This window comes from Homo sapiens, chromosome 15, assembly GCF_000001405.40.
Source record: "Homo sapiens chromosome 15, GRCh38.p14 Primary Assembly".
NCBI lineage: Eukaryota > Metazoa > Chordata > Mammalia > Primates > Hominidae > Homo > Homo sapiens.
In genome coordinates, this window is record NC_000015.10 from 25229950 (window position 1) to 25251448 (window position 21499).

General features: G+C 58.3%; 1 long non-coding RNA gene and 12 other non-coding genes across 13 annotated transcripts in view; all 13 read left to right on the forward strand.

The window, feature by feature from the left end:
• Window positions 1-21499, forward strand: part of SNHG14 (small nucleolar RNA host gene 14) — a 595855-nt gene that overhangs the window by 406342 nt on the left and 168014 nt on the right. The window contains exons 117-138 of the long non-coding RNA NR_146177.1: window positions 721-832; window positions 1217-1261; window positions 2251-2382; window positions 2762-2806; window positions 4109-4254; window positions 4626-4670; window positions 6460-6504; window positions 9701-9832; window positions 10219-10263; window positions 11610-11741; window positions 12123-12167; window positions 13478-13608; window positions 13991-14035; window positions 14186-14322; window positions 15189-15260; window positions 15340-15472; window positions 15857-15901; window positions 17208-17339; window positions 17723-17767; window positions 19065-19198; window positions 20732-20862; window positions 21227-21270. This is a non-coding gene — a long non-coding RNA (small nucleolar RNA host gene 14). The remainder of the gene's footprint in view (window positions 1-720; window positions 833-1216; window positions 1262-2250; window positions 2383-2761; window positions 2807-4108; window positions 4255-4625; window positions 4671-6459; window positions 6505-9700; window positions 9833-10218; window positions 10264-11609; window positions 11742-12122; window positions 12168-13477; window positions 13609-13990; window positions 14036-14185; window positions 14323-15188; window positions 15261-15339; window positions 15473-15856; window positions 15902-17207; window positions 17340-17722; window positions 17768-19064; window positions 19199-20731; window positions 20863-21226; window positions 21271-21499) is intronic.
• Window positions 889-970, forward strand: SNORD115-33 (small nucleolar RNA, C/D box 115-33). The gene has a single exon (NR_003348.1). It is a non-coding gene; the product is annotated as a small nucleolar RNA, C/D box 115-33 (small nucleolar RNA).
• SNORD115-34 (small nucleolar RNA, C/D box 115-34) lies at window positions 2438-2519 on the forward strand. Its single transcript, NR_003349.1, has one exon. It is a non-coding gene; the product is annotated as a small nucleolar RNA, C/D box 115-34 (small nucleolar RNA).
• On the forward strand, window positions 4298-4379 carry SNORD115-35 (small nucleolar RNA, C/D box 115-35). The gene has a single exon (NR_003350.1). It is a non-coding gene; the product is annotated as a small nucleolar RNA, C/D box 115-35 (small nucleolar RNA).
• On the forward strand, window positions 6136-6217 carry SNORD115-36 (small nucleolar RNA, C/D box 115-36). Its single transcript, NR_003351.1, has one exon. It is a non-coding gene; the product is annotated as a small nucleolar RNA, C/D box 115-36 (small nucleolar RNA).
• Window positions 8037-8118, forward strand: SNORD115-37 (small nucleolar RNA, C/D box 115-37). Its single transcript, NR_003352.1, has one exon. It is a non-coding gene; the product is annotated as a small nucleolar RNA, C/D box 115-37 (small nucleolar RNA).
• Window positions 9889-9970, forward strand: SNORD115-38 (small nucleolar RNA, C/D box 115-38). Its single transcript, NR_003353.1, has one exon. It is a non-coding gene; the product is annotated as a small nucleolar RNA, C/D box 115-38 (small nucleolar RNA).
• SNORD115-39 (small nucleolar RNA, C/D box 115-39) lies at window positions 11797-11878 on the forward strand. The gene has a single exon (NR_003354.1). It is a non-coding gene; the product is annotated as a small nucleolar RNA, C/D box 115-39 (small nucleolar RNA).
• On the forward strand, window positions 13665-13746 carry SNORD115-40 (small nucleolar RNA, C/D box 115-40). The gene has a single exon (NR_003355.1). It is a non-coding gene; the product is annotated as a small nucleolar RNA, C/D box 115-40 (small nucleolar RNA).
• SNORD115-41 (small nucleolar RNA, C/D box 115-41) lies at window positions 15529-15610 on the forward strand. Its single transcript, NR_003356.1, has one exon. It is a non-coding gene; the product is annotated as a small nucleolar RNA, C/D box 115-41 (small nucleolar RNA).
• Window positions 17396-17477, forward strand: SNORD115-42 (small nucleolar RNA, C/D box 115-42). Its single transcript, NR_003357.1, has one exon. It is a non-coding gene; the product is annotated as a small nucleolar RNA, C/D box 115-42 (small nucleolar RNA).
• Window positions 19249-19330, forward strand: SNORD115-43 (small nucleolar RNA, C/D box 115-43). Its single transcript, NR_003358.1, has one exon. It is a non-coding gene; the product is annotated as a small nucleolar RNA, C/D box 115-43 (small nucleolar RNA).
• SNORD115-44 (small nucleolar RNA, C/D box 115-44) lies at window positions 20910-20991 on the forward strand. Its single transcript, NR_003359.1, has one exon. It is a non-coding gene; the product is annotated as a small nucleolar RNA, C/D box 115-44 (small nucleolar RNA).

The following is a 21499-nucleotide window of genomic DNA, read 5'->3' on the forward strand; positions in this document are numbered from 1 at the left end:
CTCCATGGTCGAGTGTCGTGAAGGGTGGCCTCCTGAGTTGGGAAGGCTTGCTATTGAGGCACTTGTACTGTGAATTTGTTGCTCAGGCTGCTTGGGAGCCATGGTGTCACCTCCAGGGTGGCAGGGTCTTGGGACCAAGCAAAGGAGTGGGCACCATGTCACTGCAGATAGGCCATGTGTGACTGGCTCTGTGTCTGGGAGATATGTGGAGTATGAATGGGGACCCACCATTCATAGAGAAAGCAAGTGGCCCTGCAGCCCGAGGCTATGATTTCCGGTGCACACTTGGAGAGGGTGCCTTTACACCCAAGTACCAGGCTCAGAGGTAGGCTATGCCACTATCAGGTCTGCAGTGGCACGTGGCATCTGGGCCAGCCTCCTTGGTTGGCCATGACCTGGCTGGTGGCCTGGGCCTGTGCCCAGTGTTCCCAGGGTAGTTCTAGGGTGCTGCGGGGGAGCTGTTTTGGCTAGTGGAGGTGCTCTTGGGTCCTGCAGTACAGCACAGCCTGGGCGTTTTGCCTGAGCCCAGTGACCTGCCTGCCTTGCCCTTCCCAGGATCGGTGGTAGGGAAGACCAGGGGTGCCCGGCATAGGTGATGAGTCAGTATTTCACATGGATATCATCACATGTGTCCATGGAGGGGGAGCAAACATGAGCTGGCACCCGCCACCCCCTTCTCCACATGAAGGGTGGTCACACGTTCTCCATCTGTTCCTCCAGATGGTGAGACTTCTGTCGGCCTCGCTTTTCCTGGGCCAGTGTCCATCAGCCAGGTGCTCAGCCCCAGTGCACTGAAGCTCCAGCCCTTCCTGGCGCCCTGGACTGAGCTGTGGTGAGCACATCCGGGTTCCACTGGATGCGTATGTGGGAAGGGGGGTGCCCTGGGTTGGGTCAATGATGAGAACCGTATATTGTCCTGAAGAGCGGTGATGACTTAAAAATAATGCTCAATAGGATTACGCTGAGGCCCACCCTAAGTGAGAAATTTGGTAGGGGATGTTGGGATCCCGAGATTTCTGGCAGGGCCACTGTAGTTTGGGTTGGAGGCCTGGAGGCCCTGAAGGGCATCTGGAGGTGGCTCAACTCTTTCTCTGTGCTCCTCCGTGTAGCAGCCCAGGCTCCCTGTGCGGGCTTGGTGTTGTTGCTTCTGTTCCTTGGGGGCAGGGCATGTGGGTGGCTCCTCCCTGAGCCCCAGTTCTCCCCTTGTGTCTTTCAGTGAGCTCTTCTGCCAAGGGGGTCCTCCTGGCATTGACCAACATAGGTGAGTGGATCCTGCTGCTGTCATGGTCCGTGAGCCAGGCTGCTTGGGGTTGCCAAGGGTCAGACTTCGGGCCATGAAGGTTTCCTCAGGGAGCTGACCCTAATTCCCATGAGGGAGGCATGGTTTCTCCAGGAGGTCAGCTTCCTTGGGAATCTGTGACTTGACAGGGTTGAGTCGCAGAGGTTCAAGGATCTCATCCCACCTGTAACCCTGAATGGGGCCCACCCTGTTGAGCAACTGGCCATCCCAGTGGCACATATTGAGCCTGGTGGGGGGTGGTGCAGTTTCAATGGGGTTGGGTCAAGGCTGAGATATGGCTGGTGCCTGGTGGTGCTGCAGTCCAGCCCTGGGATCCGTGGGCTTTGGGCTGAGGGGGAAGCCTGCATCCTATTGGGGGTAACCTGTTCTCCAAATTTGAGTGATTGGTGGGAAGGCCTACTGTCTGAGGTCCTGTACTGGGAATTTGCCACCTCAGCTTCTTCTGAGCCATAGGGTCACCTCCAGGGTCATGGGGTCTTGGGACCAAGGAAAAGAGAAGATACCATGTGGCCCTTGATTGGCCGAGTGTAGCCCAGCTCTGTGTTTGGGAGGTGTGTGGGATGTGGATAGGGTCCCACCTGTGAAAGCATGTGGCCCGGGTCCCCAGGCTGTGATTTTCAGTGCACACTTGGAGAGGGCACCTTGGTGGGTGCCCACCATGTCCAGGGGCAGGCTATGTGACTGCCAGGTTTGCAATGGTGTGTAGCTTCCTTCTACCCTCCTTGGTTGGCTGGGAGTGGGTTGGTTGCTGTGGCCCATGCCCAGTGGTCACAGGGCAGGCAGACTGCCTTGTTTTTTCAGGGTATGCTGACAGGGAGGGCCATGGGTGCCCTGCATTCATGATGAGTCAGTGTTCCACATGGAACCCATTATGTGGGTATCTCTTATTCCTTCTACATATGGAGATGTGAGGCCCTATTTGGACACATGTCCTCCTCCTGTACCCCCAGGTGGTGAGCCTGGAGGAAGACTTGCATTGGGCCCAATGGCCCTGGACCAGTGTCTGTCAGCCAGGTTCCCAGCCCCCGATGCGCTGAAGCTCAAGCCTTTCCTGGCACCCTGGTCTCCTGCACTGAGCTGTGGTGAGCATATCCTGGTCCTGCTGGATGCATGCGTGGGGAGGGGTTGTCCTAGGTTGGGTCAATGATGAGAACCTTATAATGTTCTGAAGAGAGGTGATGACTTAAAAATCATGCTCAATAGGATTACGCTGAGGCCCAGCCTAGGTGATAATTTTGGAAGAGGACACTGGGTCCCGAAGCCCCCTGCAGGGCCCCTGTGTTTTGGGCTGGAGACCTTGAGGCCCTGAAAGGCATCTGGTGGACCCAACTCTATCTCTGCCCTCCTCAATGAGGCAGCCCAGCCTCCCTGTACTGGCTTGGTATCCGGGCTCCGGGTCTCTGGGGACGGGGCACATTGGAGGCTCCTTCCTGAGCCCCCATTCTCTCCTGTGTCTTTCAGTGAGCTCTTCGGCCCAAGTGGTCCCCCCGGCCTTAAGCGGCATAGGTGAGTGCATCCTGTTTTGATCATGGGCCATGAGTGTTGCAGCATGGGGTCCCCGACATTCAGCCTTCAGGCCACTAGGCTTTTCTCAGGCTGCAAACCTACTCTCCACCAGGGAGCGATGGTTTCTCAGGAGGGCCACTTCCTTCGGAATCTGACCCATGGAGCACGCCTTTCCTGAAGCCCTGCAGAGGTGACAGTGGTCCAGGCAGGAAGGGGTTCCTTCAGCCCCAATGTAGGGCAGCTCCCAGCTGAAACTTGGTGGACAGATCAGGCCTGGAGTACTGCCCAGGGCATATGGGGAGGAGGGACACAGGGAATGTGGCGCACCCTAGAGGTCACACTGGAGTTCTGTCTCCCTGGAGAGGGGTGAGTGATTGGGCCCACATGGTCAGGCTGTGGAGATTCAAGGAATGCTCCACACCGATGGCCTTGAATGGGACCAACCCTATTGAGCAATGGGCCATCTTAGTGGCACCTCCTTGAACCTGGTGGGGGATGGCACTCTTTCAATGAGGTTGGGTCAAGGCTGAGCTCTGGCTGGCACCCAGTGGTGCTGCAGGCTGGCCCTGGGACTTGTGGGCTTTGGGCCAAGGGGGAAGCTTCCATCCTGCTGGGAACAACCCTTCCTTGAGGTCCAGTGGCAGGAAGGGGGGCTTCCTGAGGTGGAAAGCCCTACTGTTGAGGGACCTGTCCTGGGAATTTGCTGTCCAAGCTGCTTCTGAGCCATGGGGTCACCTCTAGGGTGGTGGGGTCTTGAGCCCAAGGAAAGGAGAGGACACCATGTGGTTCCTGATTGGCTGAGTGTGGCCCGGCTCTGTGTGTCGGAGTTGTGCAGGGTATGGATTGGGACCCACCAGTGAAAGCACATGGCCCTGGAGGTCCGCAGGCTTGGAGAGGGCACCAGATCTGGCACCCACCATGCCCAGGTACAGGCTCTGGGACTGCCAGGTTGCAGCAGCTCTTGGCATCTGGGCCACCCTCCTTGGTTGGCCAGGAGCTAGTTGGTGGCCCTGTCCCATGCCCCATGTCCCTGGTATGGCCATGGGGTCATGCAGAGGAACCGGCCCTGGCATGGAGGTGCTCTTGCAACATGCAGTAGGGTGCATCCCAGGCATCTTGCCTGAGCCAGGTGACCCGCTTGCCCTGTCTCTCCAGGGTTTGGTGGCAGGGAGGGCCAAGGGTGCCCCGTGTCCATGTTGGGTCAGTGTTCAGCATGGATCCCATTGCATGAGTATCACTTAGCTCCTTCCCAGCATTGATATGTGAGGCCCTGGTTGGACACTTGTCCTCCTGTCCCTCCAGATGGTGAGCCTGGAGGAAGACTCGTGTTGGGCCCACAGGCCCCAGGCCAGTGTACGTCAGCCAGGTGCTCAGCCCATGGTGTGCTGAAGCTCTGACCCTTCCTGACTCCGTGGTCTCCTGCACTGAGCTGTGATGACCATATCCAGGTCCTGCTAGATGCATGCGTGGGGAGGCAGGGTGCCCTGGGTTGGGTCAATGATGAGAACCTTGTATTATCTTGAAGAGAGGTGATGACTTAAAAATCATGCTCAATAGGATTACACTGAGGCCCAGACTAGGTGAGAATTTTGGAAGAGGATGCTGGGATCCTGAGGTCCCCAACAGGGCCACCATATTTTGGGCTGGAGACCTGGAGGTCCTGAAGGGCATCTGTAGGGGGCCCAACCCTGTCTCTGCACTCCTCCCTGAGGCAGCCCATGCTCCCTATTCGGGATCGGTATTGGTGCTCCACTTCCCTGGGGGCAGGACACGTGGGTGGCTACTCCCTGAGCCCCCGTTCTCCCCTTGTGTCTTTCAGTGAGCTCTTCCAAACAGGTGGGCTCCCTAGCATTGACCGACAGAGGTGAGTGGATCCTTCTGGGATTATGGGCCATGAGCCAGGCCATGTGGGGTCCCCAAGGTTCAGCCTTTGGATCCCGAGAGTTGTCTCAGACAGCCAACCTGATTTGCCACCTGGGAGAGATGGCTTCTCCAGGAGGGTGGGTTTTTGGGAATTGGACCCAAGGAGGACGCCTTCCCTGAAGCCCTACTGGGATGATGGTGGTCCAGGCAGGAAAGGGTTCCTTCACCCAGCTGAGACTCGGTGTTCCAGTAAGGCCTCAAGGACCTCCCTGCCACATGAAGGGGCCCAGAGGGGCTACGAGGCACCACAGGAGTGACAGGGGAGCTCTTGGTCCCCAGAGTGTGGTACATGAATGGGCCCATGGGGTTGAGTCGCAGAGATTCAAGGATGCTGCACCACCCATGGCCCTGAATGTGACTCTCCTCCTGGAGCCTGGTGGGGGGTGGCGTTTTTTCCCTGGGGTTCGGTCAAGGTGGAACTCTGGTCAGTACCTGGTGGTAATGTAGGTCAGCCCTGGGACTCGTGGGCTTTGGGCCAACGGACAGCCCACATCCCTCTGGGGGTCACCCTTTCTCTGAGGTCGAGTGTCGTGAAGGGTGGCCTCCTGAGGTGGGAAAGCCCAATGTCGAAGGACCTGTACTGAGAATTTGTTGCTTAGGCTGCTTAGGATCCATGTTGTCACCTCCAGGGTGGTGGGATCTTGGGACCAAGCAAAGGAGAGGGCACCATGTGGCTGCCAGTGGCTATGTGTGACTGGCTCTGTGTCTGAGAGGTGTGTGGATGGGGACCCACCAGAGAAAGCAAGTGGCCCTGCAGCCCCAAGATGTGATTTCTGGTGCAGGCTTGGAGAGGGTGCCTATACCTGCTCCCACCACGCCCAGGGGCAGGCTTTGCCACTGCAGGTCTGCAGTGCCACGTGGCATCTGGGCCAGCCACCTTGGTTGGCCGTGACCTGGCTGGTAGCCCGTGCCTGTGCCCAGTGTTCCCAGGGCTGCCCTGGGGTCTTGCTGGGGAGCTGTTTTGGGCAGTGGAAATGCTCTTGGGGCCTGCAGTATGGCACAGCCTGGGGGCATTTTGCCTGAGCCCAGTGACCTGCCTGCCTTGTCCTTCCTGGGTTCGGTGGCAGGGAGGGCCAAGGGTGCCCTACATTGGTGACAAGTCAATATTTTGCATGGATCTCATCACGTGTCCATGGAGGTGGGGGCAAGCGTGAGCTGGCACGCACCCCATTCTCCCCATGGAGGGTGGTCACATGTACTCCACCTGTGTCCCTAGATGGTGAGACTGGAGGAAGACTTCCATTGGGCCCACTTTTCATGGGACAGTGTCCATCAGCCAGGTGCTCAGCCCCCAGTGCATTGAAGACCCAGCCCATCCTGGCACCCTAGTCTCCTGCACTGAGCTGTGCTGAGCACATCTGGCTTCCACTGGAAGTTTTTTTTGCGAGGAGGGGCTTCCCTGGGTTGGGTCAATGATGAGAACCTTATATTGTCCTGAAGAGAGGTGATGACTTAAAAATCATGCTCAATAGGATTACGCTGAGGCCCAACCTAGGGGAGAATTTTGGAAGAGGATTATGGGATCCCAAGGTCCCCAACAAGGCCACTGCATTTTGGGCTAGAGACCTGGAGGCTCTTAAGAGCATCTGGAGGTGGCCCAACCTGTCTCTGCTCCTTCGTGATGCAGCCCAGGCTCCCTGTGTGGGATTGGTGTTGGTGCTCCATTTCCCTGGCATGGGGAATGTTGGTGGCTCCTTCCTGAGCTCCTGTTCTCGCCTTGTGTCTTTCAGTGAGCTCTGCCACCCAGGACATCCCCCTGGCATTGACTGGCATAGGTGAGTGGATCCTGCTGGGGTCATTGGTCATGAGCCAGACCATGTGGAGTCCCCAAGGTTCAGCCTTTGGGCCACAAAGGTTTTCTCAGGGAGCAGACCTGAATTTCACCCGGGAGGGAAGGGTTGTCCTGGAGGGTGGCTTTTTTGGGAACCTAACCCAAGGAGGACCCATTCCCTGAAGCCCTGCAGGGGTGATGGTGGTCCAGGCAGGAAAGGGTTCCTTCTGCTCAATGCAGGGCAACACCCAGCTAAGATGCGGTGATCTGGTAAGGCCTCCAGAACTGCCCAGGCCATATGAGGGGGGCCAGAGGGGCTACAGGGTGCCACAGGGGTAACAGGGGAGCTCTTGGTCCTTGGAGTGTGGTGCCTGAATGGACCCATGGGATTGGGTTGTGTAGATTCAAGGATCACACCCTACCCACAGCCCTGAATGTGACTCTTCCTCTTGAGCAATGGGCCATCTCAGTGGGTCTCCTGGAGCCTGGTCGGGGGGTGGTGTTGTTTCCCTGGGGTTGGGTCTAGGTGGAGCTCTGGCTGGTACCTGGTGGTGCTGCAGATCATCCCTGGGACTTTTGGGCTTTGGGCCAAGGGACAGCCCGCATCCCGCTTGGGGTCAGCCTATCTCCATGGTCAAGTGTCATGAAGGGTGGCCCCCTGAGGTGAGAAGGCCTACTGTCAAGGGATCTGTCCCAGGATTTTGTTGCTCAGGCTGCTTCTGAGCCATGGCGTCACATCCACAGTGGCAGGGTCTTGGGCCTGAGCATAGCAGAGGGCACCATGTCGTTCTGGATTGGCCAAGTATGGCCTAGCTCTGTGTGCGGGAGGTGTGCAGAGCATGGACGGTGACCCACCAGAGAAAGCACGTGGCCCTGCATCCCAGGCTGTGATTTCCAATGCACACTTGGAGAGGGTGTCTTGATTTGTGCCCACCATGCCCAGGGGCAGACTACGTGATAGCCAGGTCTGCAGCCTGAGCCACGTGTGGCATCTGGGCCAGCCACCTTGGTTGGCCGTGAGCTGGCTGGTGGCCTTGGCCTGTGGCCAGTGGTGCCAGGGCGGCCCTGGGGTCGTGTGGGGGAGCCATGTTGGGCAGTGGAGGTGCTGTCAGGGCCTGCAGTACAGTGCAGCCTGGGCATTTGGCCTGAGCCCAGTCACCCGCCTGCTCTGTTCCTCCAGGGTTTGGTGGCGGGGAGGGCCAAGGGTGCCCCGCATCCGTGACGACTCAGTAATTCACATGGATCACATCACATTTTTCCTTGGAGGGCAAGCAAATGTGAGCCCCCACCCCCCACTGCCTTCCCCACATGGAGGTCATTTTGGACACATATCCTCCTCTAGTCCCCCTAGATGGTGAGACTGGAGGAAGACTTGCATTATGCCCGCTGTTCCTGGGCCAGTGTCAGTCAGCCAGGTTCCCAGCTCCAAGTGTGCTGAAGCTCAGGCCCTTCCTGGCACCCTCAGCTCCTGCACTGAGCTGGGGTTACATCCGGGTTCCACTGTTTGCATGCAAAGGGAGGGGTGTACCCTGGGTTGGGCTGATGATGAGAACCTTATATTGTCCTGAAAAAAGGTGATGACTTAAACATCATGCTTAATAGTATTATGCTGAAGCCCAAGCTAGGTGAGAATTTTGGAAGATGAGGCTGGGATCCTGAGATCCCCGGCAGGGCCACACTTATTTTGGGCTGGAAAATTTCAAGACCTGAAGCGCATCTTGTGGGGGGGCAATCCTGTCTCTGTGCTTCTCCGTGAGGCAGCCCAGGCTCCCGTTGCGGGCTTGGTGCCCATGCTTCGCTTCCCCAGGGGTGGGGCAATTTGGCATCCTCTTCCTGAGCCCTCCTTCTTCCCTGTGTCTTTCAGTAAGTTCTTCTTCCCAGGTGGGGCCCCTGGCTTTGAGCGGCATGGGTCAGAGCATCCTGTCAGGGTCATGGGCCATGAGTGAGGCAGCGTCGGTTCGTCGAGAGTCAGCCTTTGGGCCACTGGGGTTTTCTCAGGGAGCCAACAGGTTACCCATCAGGAGGGATGGTTCCTCCAGGAGGGTCGCTTCCTTGGGAATCTGACTCTAGGAGCATGCATTTCCTGAAGCTCTGCAGGGTGATGGTGGTCCAGGCGGGAAAGGGTTCCTTCAGCCCAACATAATGCAGTTCCCAGCTGAAACTCGGTGGCAGATCAGGCTCAAGGACTGCTCGGGCCACATGATGGGGGCCACAGGGGATTTGGGGTGCCCTGGGGGTCATGCTGGAGTTCTTGCCCCAAGAGGGGTGGGTGATAGGGCCCATGCGATCAGGCTGCGGAGATTCAAGGAATGCTACCCACCCATGGCCCTGAATGGGACTGACCCTGTTGAACAATGGGCCATTTTAATGGTGCCTCCTTGAGCCTGGTAGGTAGTGGCATTGTTTCAATGCGGTTGGGTCAAGGCTGAACTCTGGCTGGTGCCCGGTGGTGCCCACATGGGCTTTGGGCCAAGGGGGCAGCTCATATCCCTCTGGGGTCACCCCTTCCTTGAGATTCAGTGGCAGGAAGGGTGTTCTCCTGAGGTGGAAGACCTGCTGTCAAGGGACTTGTCCTGGGAATTTGCCACCTAGGCTGCTTCTGAGCCATGGAGTCACCTCCAGGGTGGCAGGGTCTTGAGCCCAGGGAAAGGAGACACCATATGGTTTCTGACTGGGAGTGTGGCCTGGATCTGTGTGTGGGAGGTGTGCAGGGCATGGATGGGGACCCATCAGAGAAAGCATGTGGCCCTGTAGGCCCCCAGGCTTTGATTTCTGGTGTGTGCTTGCAGTGGGCACCAGGGCAGCCCTACCATGCCCAGGGGCAGGCTCTGTGACTGCCAGGTCTGGAGTGGCTCCTGGCATGAAGACCACGCTCCTTGGTTGGCCATGAGCAGGTTGGTTGCCCTAGCCTGTGCCCTGTGGTCCTGGTGCAGCCCTGGGGTTGTTTGGGGAGACAGCACCGGCAGTGGAGGTGCTCTCAAGGCCTGCAGTAGGGCGCAGCCCAGGTGTCTTGCCCGAGCCCAGTAACCCACTTGCCCTGTCTTTCCAGGGTTTGGTGGCAGGGAGGGCCAACTGTGCCCCGCATCTGAAATGGATCAGTGTTCTGCATGGATCCCATCACAAGGGTATCCCCTACCCAACTTCTGTGCATTGTTATGTGAGGCCCTGGTTGGACACATGTCCTCCTCCTGTCCCTGCAGATGCTGACCCTGGAGGAAGACTTGTGTCGGGCCCCCAGGCCCCAGGCCAGTGTCCATCAGCCAGGTGCTCAGCTCCCAGTGCGCTGAAGCTCAGACCCTTCCTGGCACCCTGGTGTCCAGCACTGAGCTGTGGTGAGCCCATCCGGGTCCTGCTGGATGCATGAATGGGGAGGGGCCTGCCCAGAGTTGGGTCAATGATGAGAACCTTACATTGTCCTGAAGAGAGATGATGACTTAAAAATCATGCTCAATAGGATTACGCTGAGGCCCAGCCTAGGTGAGAATTTTGGAAGAGGACGGCTGGGATCCTGAGATCCCAGTCAGGGTCACTGTATTTTGGGCTGGAGACCTGGAGGCCCTAAAGGGCATCTGGAAGGGGGCCCAGCCCTGTCTCTGTGCTCCTCCGTGAGGCAACCCACACTCCCTGTGTGGGCTTGGTGTTGGTGCTCTGGTTCCCCAGGGACAGGGCGGGTTGGTGGCTCCTTCCTGAGCCCCTATTCTCCCTTTGTGTCTTTCAGTGAGCTTTTCCACCCAGGTGGGCCCCCTGGCATTGACCGACATAGGTGAGTGCATCCTACTGGGATAATGGGCCACTAGATAGTCTGTGTGGGGTTGCTGAGGTTTAGCCTTTGGGCCACAAGGGTTTTCTCAGGCAGCCAACCTGAATTCCCACCTGGGAGAGATGGGTTCTCCAGGAGGCAGCTTTTTTGGGAATCAGACCCAAGGAGGACACCTTCCCTGAAGCCCTGCAGGGGTGATGGTGGTCCAGGCAGGAAAGGGTTCCTTCTGCCCAACTCGAGGCCCAATGCAGGGCAGTGCCCCCCTGAGAATTGGTGCTCTGGTAAGGGCTCGAGGACTGCCCAGGCCACATGAAGGAGGTCAGAGGGGCTATGGGGAACCATGGGGGCAACAGGGGAGCTCTTGGCCCCCGGAGTGTGGTACATGAATGGGCCCATGGGGTTGGGTCACGGAGATTCAAGGATTGCATCTCACCCACGGCCCTGAATGCGACCATCCCTGTTGAGCAATGGGCCATCCCAGTGGGTCTCCTGGGGCCTGGTGTGGGGTGGCATTGTTTTCCTGGGGTTGGGTCAAGGCGGAGCTCTGACTGGTACCTGATGGTGCTGCAGGTCAGCCCTGGGACTCGTGGGCTTTGGGCCAAGAGGCAGCCCGCATCCTGCTGGGGGTCGCCTTTTCTCCGAGGTTGAGTGTCGTGAAGGATGGCCTCCTGAGGTGGGAAGGCCCACTGTCAAGGCACCTAGACTAGGAATTGTTCCTCAGGCTGCTTGGGAGCCATGGTGTCACCTCCAGGGTGGCGGGATCTTGGGACTAAGCAAAGGAGGGGACACTACGTGGCTCCCAATTGGCCATGTGTGGCTGGCTCTGTGCCTGGGAAGTGTGTGGAGTATGGATGGGGACCCACCAGAGAAAGCAAGTGGCCCTGCAGTCCCAGAATGTAATTTCTGGTGTAGGCTTGGAGAGGGTGCCTATATGCATGCCCACCATGCCCAGGAGCAGGCTATGCCACTTCAGGGTCTGCAGGGGCACCTGGCATATGGGCCAGCCTCCTTCGTTGGCTGTGACCTGGGTGGTGGCCTGTGCTTGTGCCCAGTGGTCCCAGGGTAGCCCTGGGGTCGTGCAGGGGAGCCGTTTTGGGCAGTGGATGTGCTCTCGGGTCCTACAGTACAGCACAGCCTGGGTGTTTTGCTCAAGCCCAGTGACCTGCCTGCCTTGTCCTTCCCGGGTTCAGTGGCAGGGAGAGCCAAGGGTGCCCCACATTGGTGACGAGTCAGTATTTTGCATGGATCTCATCACACGTGACCATGAAGGACGAGCAAGCATGAGCTGGCACCAGCCACCCCCTTCTCCGCGTGGAGGGTGGTCACATGTCCTCCACCTGTGCCCCCAGATGATGAGACTGGAGGAAGACTTCCATTGGGCCCACTTTTCCTGGGCCAGTGTCCATCAGCCAGGTGCTCAGCCCCTGGTGTACTGAAGCTCCAGCCTTTCCTGGTGCCCCAGTCTTCTGCACTAAGCTGTGGTGAGCACATCCGGGTTCCACTGGATTTTTGTGCGGGGAGGGGGTTTTCTACGTTGGGTCAATGATGAGAATCTTATATTGTCCTGAAGAGAGGTGATGACTTAAAAATCATGCTCAATAGGATTACGCTGAGGCCCAGCCTAGGTGAGAATTTTGGAAGGGGATTATGGGATGCTGAGGTCCTCAGCAAGGCCACTGTATTTTGGGCTAGAGACCTGGAGGCTCTGAAGGGCATCTGGAGGTGGCCCAACCTGTCTCTGCGCTCCTCCATGAGGCAGCCCAGGCTCCCTGTGCAGGGTTGGTGTTGGTGCTCCGGTTCTCTGGTGTGGGGAATGTTGGTGGCTCCTTCCTGAGCCCTCATTCTCACCTTGTGTCTTTCAGTGAGCTCTTCCACCCAGGAGGGCCCCTTGGCATTGACTGGCATAGGTGAGTGGATCCTGCTGGGGTCATTGGTCATGAGCTAGACCGTGTGGGGTCCCCGAGGTTCAGCCTTCAGTCCACAAGGGTTTTCTCGGGGAGCAGACCTGAATTTCCACCTGGGAGGGAAGGGTTCTCCTGGAGGGTAGTTTTTTTGGGAATCTAGCCCAAGGAGGATGCCTTCCCTGAAGCCCTGCAAGGGTGATGGTGGTCCAGGCAGGAGAGGGTTCCTTCTGCCCAATGCAGGACAGCTCCCAGTTGAGACTGAGTGCTCCAGTAAGGTCTCCAGGACTGCCCAGGCCACATGAAGGAGGCCAGAGGGGCTATGGAGCACCACTGGGGTAATAGGGGAGCTCTTGGTCCCTGGAGTGTGGTGTGTGAATGGGGTTTGGTCACGGAGATTCAAGGATCACACCCCACCCATGGCCCTGAAAGTGACCATCCCTATTGAGCAATGGGCCATCCCACCGGGTCTCCTGGAGTCTGGTGCAGGGCGACGTTTTTTCCCTGGGGTTGGGTCAAGGTGGAGCTCTGGTACCTGGTCATGCTGCAGGTCAGCCTTGGGACTCGTAAGCTTTGGGCCAAGGGACAGCTGGCATCCTGCTGGGGGGTCACCCTATCTCTGGGGTCGAATGTCACGAAGGGTGGCCTCCTGAGGTGGGAAGGCCCATTGTCGAGGGACCTGTCCCAGGATTTTGTTGCTCAGGCTTCTTCTGAGCCATGGTATCACCTCCAGGGTGACAGGGTCTTGGGCCCAAGCAAAGGAGAGGGCACCATGTCGCTCTGAGTTGGCCAAGTGTAGCCTAGCTCTGTGGTGGGAGGTGTGCAGAGCATGGCTGGTGACCCACCAGAGAAAGCACGTGGCCCTGCAGCCCCAAGCTGTGATTTCCAGTACATGCTTAGAGAGGGCATCTTGATGTGAGCCCACCACACCCAGGGGCAGACTACGTGACTGCCAGGACTGCAGTGGCACATGGCATCTGGGCCAGCCTTCTTGGTTGGCCATGACCTAGCTAATGGCCCTGGCCCGTGCCTTGGGGTCATGCAGGGGAGCCCTCTTGGACAGTGGAGGTCCTCTCAGGGCCTGCAATATGGCGCAGGCTGGGCATTTGGCCCGAGCCCAGTGACCTACCTGCCCTGTCCTTCCAGGGTTGGGTGGCAGGGAGGGACAAGGGTGCCCCATGTCAGTGACAAGTCAGTATTTCACATGGATCTCATCACATGTGCCCATGGAGGACGAGCAAGCGGGAACTGGCACCCGCTACTTCCTTCCCTACATAGAGGCCATTTTGGACACATGTTCTCCACCTCTCTCCCAGATGGTGAGACGGGAGGAAGACTTGTGTTGGGCCTGCTGTTCCTGGGCCAGTGGCCATCAGCCTGTTGCCCAGCCCCTGAGGCGCTGAAGCTCAGGCCCTTCCTCACACCCTGGTCTCCTGCACTAGCTGTGGTGAGCACATCCGGGTCCCGCTGGATGCATGCAAGAGGTGGTTGGTCTCGTGGGTTGGGTCGATGATGAGAACCTTATATTTTCCTGAAGAGAGGTGATGACTTAAAAATCATGCTCAATAGGATTACGCTGAGGCCCAGCCTAGGTGAGAACTTTGGAAGAGGATGCTGGGATCCTGAGATCCCAGGCAGGGCCACTATATTTTGGGGTGGAGAACTCAAGGCCCTGAAGGGCCTCTCAGGGGGTGCCACCCTGTCTCTGTGCCCCTCTGTAAGGCAGCCCAGGCTCCCTGTGTGGGCTTGGTGTCTGGTCTCTGGTTCCCCGGGGGCGGGGCATGTTGGTGGCTCCTTCCTGAGCCCGCTTTCTCCCCCATGTCTTTCAGTGAGCTCTTCTGCCCAGGTGGGGCCCATGGCCTTACACGACATAGGTGAGTGTATCCTGTTGGGGTCATGGGCCATGAATGAGGCAGCATGGGGCCATTTAGGGTCAGCCTTCGGGCCACTAGAGTTTTCTCAGGGTGCGACCGGGGAGGGAACATTTCTCCAGTAGGGTCACTTCCTTGGAAATCTGATCCTAGGAGCACGCATTTCTTGAAGTCCTGCAAAGGTGATGGTGGTCCAGACAGGAGAGGGTTCCTTCAGCCCAACATAGCGCAGCTCCCAGCTGAAACTCGGAAGGCTGGTCAGGCCTCGAGGACTGCCCAGGCCACATGAGGTGGGCAACAGGGGCTCTGGGGCAACCTGGGGGTCACGCTGGAGTTCTCCCTCTCTGGACAGTGGTGGGTGATTGGGCCCACGCAGACAGGCCCCGGAGATTCAGGACTGCACCCCATCCATGGCCCTGAATGGGACCGACCCTGTTGAGTAATGGGCCATCTCAGTGGTACCTCCTTGAGCCTGGTAGGGGGAGACACTGTTTCAATGCAGTTGAATCAAGGCTGAGCTCTGGCTGGTGCCTGGTGGTGCTGCAGGCAGCCCTGAGGGTTGTGGTCTTTGGGACAAGGGGTAGCTCACATCCCACTGGGGTCACCCCTTCCTTGAGATTCAGTGGCCAAAAGGGTGTCCTCCTGAGATGGGAAGTCCTGCTGTCGAGGGACCTGTTCTGGGAATTTGCCACACAGGCTGCTTCTGAGCCACGGGGTCACCTCCAGGGTGGTAGGGTCTTGATCCCAAGGAAAGGAGAGGACACCATGTGGTTTCTTATTGACCAAGTGTGGCCTGGCTTTGTGTGTGGGAGGTGTAACGCAAGATGAGGACCCACCAGAGAAAGCACGTGGCTCTGGAGGCCCCCAGGGTTTGATTTCCGGTGTGTGCTTGGAGAGGGCACCAGGTTGGGCACCCACCACGCCCAGGGCAGGCTCTGCGACTGCCAGGTCTGCATTGGCTCCTGGTGTCAGGGCCAGACTCATTGGTTGGCCATGAGCAGGTTGGTTGCCCTGACCCATCCCCATGGTCCCAGTGTGGCCCTGGGGTTTTTCAGGGGAGCCGGCTCAAGCAGTGGAGGTGCGCTTAGGGCCTGCAGTAGGGAACAGCCCAGGCATCTTGCCTGAGCCCAGTAACCTGCTTGCCTTGTCTTTCCAGGGTTTGGTGGCCGGGAGGGCCAATGATGCTCTGCGTCTGTGTTGGATCAGTGTTCTTCATGGATTCCATCACGTGGGTATCCCCTACCCACCTTCCCCTTGCTCATACGTGAGGCCCTGGTTGGACACATGTCCTTCTCCTGTCACCCCAGATGGTGAGCCTTGAGGAAGACTTGTATTGGGCCCCCACAGGCCCCAGGCCAGTGTCCGTCAGCCTGGTGCTCACCCCCAGTGTGCTGAAGCTCAGACCCTCCGTGGCACCCTGGTCTCCTGCACTGAGCTGTGGTGAGCACATTCAGGTTCCGCTGGATGCATGCATGGAGAGGGGCTTGCCCTTGGTTGGGTCAGTGATGAGAACCTTCTATTGTCCTGAAGAGAGGTGATGACTTAAAAATCATGCTCAATAGGATTACGCTGAGGCCCAACCTAGGTGAGTATGTTGGAAGAAGACACTGGGATCCCGAGATCTCCAACAGGGCACTGTATTTTGGGTTGGAGACCTGGAGGCCCTGAAGGGCATCTGGAAGGAGGCCCAACCCTGTCTCTGTGCTCTTCCTTGGGGCAGCCCAGGCTACCTCTGCGGGCTTGGTGTTGGTGCTCCAGTTCCCTGGGGCCAGGGAACATTGCTGGCTCCTTCCTGAGCCCCCATTCCTCCCTTGTGTCTTTCAGTGAACTTTTCCTCCCAGATGGGCCCCCTGGCATTGACTGGCATAGGTGAGTGCATCCTGCTGGGGTCATGGGCCATCAGCCAGGCCATGTGGGGTCGCTGAGGTTCAGCCTTTGGGCCACAAGGGTTTTCTCAGGCAGCCGACCTGAATTCCCACCTGGGAGAGACGGGTTCTCCAGGAGGGCAGCTTTTTTGGGAATTAGACCCAAGGAGGATACCTGAAGCCCTGCAGGGGTGACGGTGGTCCAGGCAGGAAAGGGTTCCATCAGCCCGGGCAAGGCAGCTCCTAGCTGACACTCGGTGTTCGGGTCAGTCCTTGAGGACTGCCTGAACACGAGGGGGTCCAGAGGGGCTCTGGGTGCCACGGGGGTCACATGGGAGCTCTCAGTCCCTAGAGTGTGGTGTGTGAATGGACCCTTAGGGTTAGGTCTTGGAGATAAAAGGATTGTGCTCCACCCATGGCCTGGAATGTGACCGTCCCTGTTGAGTAATGGGCCATTCCAGTGGGTCTCCTGGAGCCTGATGGGAGGTGGCGTTGTCTTCCTGGGGTTGAGTCAAGGCAGAGCTCTGGCCCATACCTGGTTGTGCTGCAGGTCAGCCCTGGGACTCGTGGGCTTTGGGCCGAGGGGCAGCCCGCATCCCGCTGGAGATTACCCTATCTCTGAGATCAAGCGTCATAGAGGGTGACCTCCTGAGAAGGGAAGGCCCACTGTCGAGGGACCTTTCCTAGGATTTTGTTGCTCAGGCTGCTTGGAATCCATTGTGTCACCTCCAGGGTGATGGAGGTTTGGGCCCAAGCAATGGAGAGGGCACCATGTGTCTCCTGATTGTTCAAGTGTGTCGGAGATATGCGGGGTATGGATGGTGGCCCACCAAAGAAAGCATGTGACTCAAGCTGTGATTTCCAGTGCATGCTTAGAGAGGGCGCCTGTATGCGTGCCCCACATGCCCGGGGTAGGCTATGCAACTGCCAGGTCTGCAGTGGCGCATGGCATCTTGGCCAGCCTTCTTGGTTGGCCATGACCTGGCTAATGACCCTGGCCTGTGCCCAGTGATCCCAGGGAAGCCCTGGTGTCATGCAGCGGAGGCCTCTTGGGCAGTGGAGGTGCTCTTAAAGCCTGCAGCATGGCACGGCCTGGGCATTTATCCCAAGCCCAATGAACTACCTGCCCTGTCCTTCCAGGGTTCGGTGGCAGGCAGGGCCAAGGGTGCCCCGTGTTGGTGACAAGTCAGTATTTCACATGGCTCTCATCACATGTGTCCGTGGAAGATAAGCAAGTGTGAACTGGCACGTCCTACCTCCTTCCCTACATGGAGGTAACTTTGGACACATGTTCTCCACCTCTCTCCCAGATGGTGAGACCGGAGGAAGACTTGCATTGGGCCTGTTGTTCCTGGGCCAGTGGCCATCAGCCTGTTGCCCAGCCCCTGATGCGCTGAAGCTCGGGCCCTTCCTCGCGCCCTGGTCTCCTGCACTGAGCTGTGGTGAGCACATCCGGGTCCTGCTGGATGCATGCACGAGGTGATTGATCCCCTCAGTTGGGTCGATGATGAGAACCTTATATTGTTCTGAAGAGAGGTGATGACTTAAAAATCATGCTCAATAGGATTACGCTGAGGCCCAGCCTAGGTGAGAATTTTGGAAGAGGATGCTGGGATCCCGAGATCCCTGGCAGGGCCACTATATTTTGGGCTGGAGAACTTGAGGCCCTGAAGGGCATCTCAGGGGGGTCCAACCCTATCTCTGTGCCCCTCCATGAGGCAGCCCAGGCTCCCTGTGTGGGCATGGTGTCCGGGCTCTGGTTCCCTGGGGGTGGGGCATGTTGGTGGCTCCTTCCTGAGCCTGCTTTCTCCCCCATGTCTTTCAGTGAGCTCTTCTGCCCAGGTGAGGCCCATGGCCTTAAGCGGCATAGGTGAGTGTATCCTGTTGGGGTCATGGGCCATGAATGAGGCAGCATGGGGCCATTTATGGTCAGCCTTCGGGCCACTAGGGTTTTCTCAGGGTGCGACCGGGGAGGGAATGTTTCTCCAGTAGGGTCACTTCCTTGGGAATCTGACCCTAGGAGCATGCATTTCGTGAAGCCCTGCAAAGGTGATGGTGGTCCCGGCAGGAAAGGGTTCCTTCAGCCCAACATAGAGCAGCTCCCAGCTGAAACTCAGCGGGCTGGTCAGGCCTCGAGGACTGCCCAGGCCACATGAGGTGGGCAACAGGGGCTCTGGGGCAACCTGGGGGTCACGCTGGAGTTCTCCCTCTCTGGACAGTGGTGGGTGATTGGGCCCACGCAGACAGGCCCCGGAGATTCAGGACTGCACCCCATCCATGGCCCTGAATGGGACCGACCCTGTTGAGTAATGGGCCATCTCAGTGGTACCTCCTTGAGCCTGGTAGGGGGAGGCACTGTTTCAATGCAGTTGAATCAAGGCTGAGCTCTGGCTGGTGCCTGGTGGTGCTGCAGGCAGCCCTGGGGGTTGTGGTCTTTGGGACAAGGGGCCAGCTCACGTCCCTCTGGGGTCTCCCCTTCCTTGAGATTCAGTGGCCGAAAGGATGTCCTCCTGAGGTGGGAAGTCCTGCTGTCGAGGGACCTGTTCTGGGAATTTGCCACACAGGCTGCTTCTGAGCCACGGGGTCACCTCCAGGGTGGTAGGGTCTTGATCCCAAGGAAAGGAGAGGACACCATGTGGTTTCTTATTGACCAAGTGGGACCTGGCTCTGTGTGTGGGAGGTGTAGGGCAAGATGAGGACCCACCAGAGAAAGTACGTGGCCCTGGAGGCCCCCAGGCTTTGATTTCTGGTGTGTGCTTGGAGAGGGCACCAGGGTGGGCACCCACCATGCCCAGGGTAGGCTCTGCAATGGCCAGGTCTGCATTGGCTCCTGGTGTTAGGGCCAGACTCGCTGGTTGGCCATGAGCAGGTTGGTTGCCCTCACCCGTCCCCATAGTCCCAGTGCGGCCCTGGGGTTGTTCGGGGGAGCCGGCCCGAGCAGTGGAGGTGCTGTTGGGGCCTGCAGTAGGGCATCTTGCCCCAGCCCAGTGACCCACCTTCCCTGTCTTTCCAAGGTTTGGTGGCCAGCAGGGCCAATGGTGCCCTGTGTCTGTGATGAGTCAGTGTTCTTCATGGATTCCATCACATGGGTATCCCCTACCCACATTCCCCTCGCTCATATGTGAGGCCCTGGTTGGACACATGTCCTTCTCCTGTCACCACCCCAGATGGTGAGCCTGGAGGAAGACTTGTATTGGGACCCTACAGGCCCCAGGCCAGTGTCTGTCAGCCTGGTGCTCATCCCCCAGTGCGCTGAAGCTCAGACCCTCCCTGGCACCCTGGTCTCCTGCACTGAGCTGTGGTGAGCACATCCAGGTTCTGCTGGATGCATGCATGGGGAGGGCCTTGATTGGGTCAATGATGAGAACCTTATATTGTCCTGAAGAGAGGTGATGACTTAAAAATCATGCTCAATAGGATTACGCTGAGGCCCAGGCTAGGTGAGAATTTTGGAAGGGAGCGCTGGGATGCCAAGATCCCCGGCAGGGCCACTAGCCACTGTATTTTATACTGAAGAACTTGAGGCCCCAAAGGGCATCTCAGGGGTCCTAGCCCTGTCTCTGTGCCCCTCCGTGAGGCAGCCCAGGCTCCCTGTGTTGACTTGGTGTCCAGGCTCTGCTTCCTGGGGATAGGGCATGTTGGCAGCTCCTTCCTGAGCCCACGTTCTCCCCTGTGTCTTCTATTGAGCTCTTCTGCCCAGGTGGGGCCCATGCCCTTAAGCAGTATAGGTGAGTGTATCCTGTTGCGGTCATGGGCCATAAATGAGGCAGTGTGGGGTCATCGAGGGTCAGCCTTCAGGCCACTAGCGTTTTCTCCAGGTGCCCCCGGGGAGGGAACATTGCTCCAGTAGGGTCACTTCCTTGGGAATCTGACCCTAGGAGCACGCATTTCCTGAAGCCCTGCAAAGGTGATGGTGGTCCAGGCAGGAAAGCGTTCCTTCAGCCCAACATACAGCAGCTCCCAGCTGAAATTTGGTGGGCTCGTCAGGCCTTGAGGACTGCCCAGGCTTCATGATGGGGGACACAGAAGCTCTGGGGCTCCCTGGGGCTCACACTGGAGTTCTCCCTCCCTGAAGAGTGGTGGGTGATTGGGCCCACAGTCAGGTGGCGGAGATTCAAGGAATGCCCCCACCCCTGGCCCTGAATGGGACCAACTCTGTTGAGTAATGGGCCATCTTAATGGCGCCTCCTTGAGCCTGTTGGGGGTGGGTTGCTGTTTCAATAAGGTTGAGTCAAAGCTGAGCTCTGACTGGGCGCCTGGTGGTACTGCAGGCCGGCCCTTCCTTGGGCCAAGGGGGCAGCTTGTGTCCCGCTGGTGTCATCCCTTCCTTGAGGTCCAGTGGTGGAAAGGGTAGCCTCCTATGGTGGGAAGGCCTGCTGCTCAGGGACCTGTCCTGGAAATTTGCCATCCAGGCTGCTTCTGAGCCATGGGGTCACCTCCAGGGTAGTGGGGTCTTGAGTCCAAGAAAAGGAGAGGACACCATGTGGTTCCTGATTGGCCAAGGCTCCTTGGTTGGCCAGGAGCAGGTTGGTTGCCCTGGCCCATGCCCCATGGTCCTGGTGTGGCCCTGGGGTTGTTCAGGGGAGCTGGCCCAGGCCGTGAAGGTGCTCTCAGGGCCTGCAGTAGAGTGCAGCCCAGGCATCTTGCCCCAGCCCAGTGACCCACTTACCCTGTCTTTCTAAGGTTTGGTGGCCAGGAGGGCCAATGGTGCCTTGTGCCCATGTTGGGTCAGTGTTCTGCATGGATCCCCATCATATGGGTATTCCCTACCCACCCTCCCTGCACTGATATGTGAGGCCCTGGTTGGACACATGTCCTCCTCCTGTCCCTTCAGATGGTGAGTCTGGAGGAAGACTTGTGTTGGACCCCCACAGGCCCCAGGCCAGTGTCCATCAGCCTGGTGCTAATCCCCCAGTGCTCTGGAGTTTGGACCCTCCCTGGCACCCTGGTCTCCTGCACTGAGCTGTGGTGAGCACATGGATGCATGCTTGGGGTGGGGGTTGCCCTTGGTTGGGTCAATGATGAGAACCTTATATTGTCCTGAAGAGCGGTGATGACTTAAAAATCATGCTCAATAGGATTACGCTGAGGCCCAGCCTAGGTGAGAATTTTGGAAGAGGACACTGGGCTCCCCGGAATGGCCACTGTATTTTGCGCTGGACACCTGCAGGCCCTGAGGGCCATCTGGAAGGTCCAACCCTGTCTCTCTGCTCCTCCAGGAGGCAGCCCAGGCTCCCTGAGGGGGCTTGGTGTCGGGCTCCTGTTCCCCGGGGTTGGGGCCGGTTGGTGGCTCCTTCCTGAGCCCCCATTCTCCCCTTGTGTCTTTCAGTGAGCTCTTCCACCCGGGCGGGCCCCCGGCATTGACTGGCATAGGTGAGTGGATCCTGCTTGTGTCATGGGCCATGAACCGGTCCATGTGGGGTCACCAAGGGTCAGCCTTTGGGATAAGAGGGTTTCCTCAGGGAACCAACCTGAATTCCCATCAGAGAGGTATGGGTTCTCCAGGAGGGCCGCTTTTTTGGGAATTGGACCCAAGGAGGATAACTTCCCTGATCTCTGCAGGAGTGACGGTGGTCCAGGCAGGAAAGAGTTCCTTCAGCCC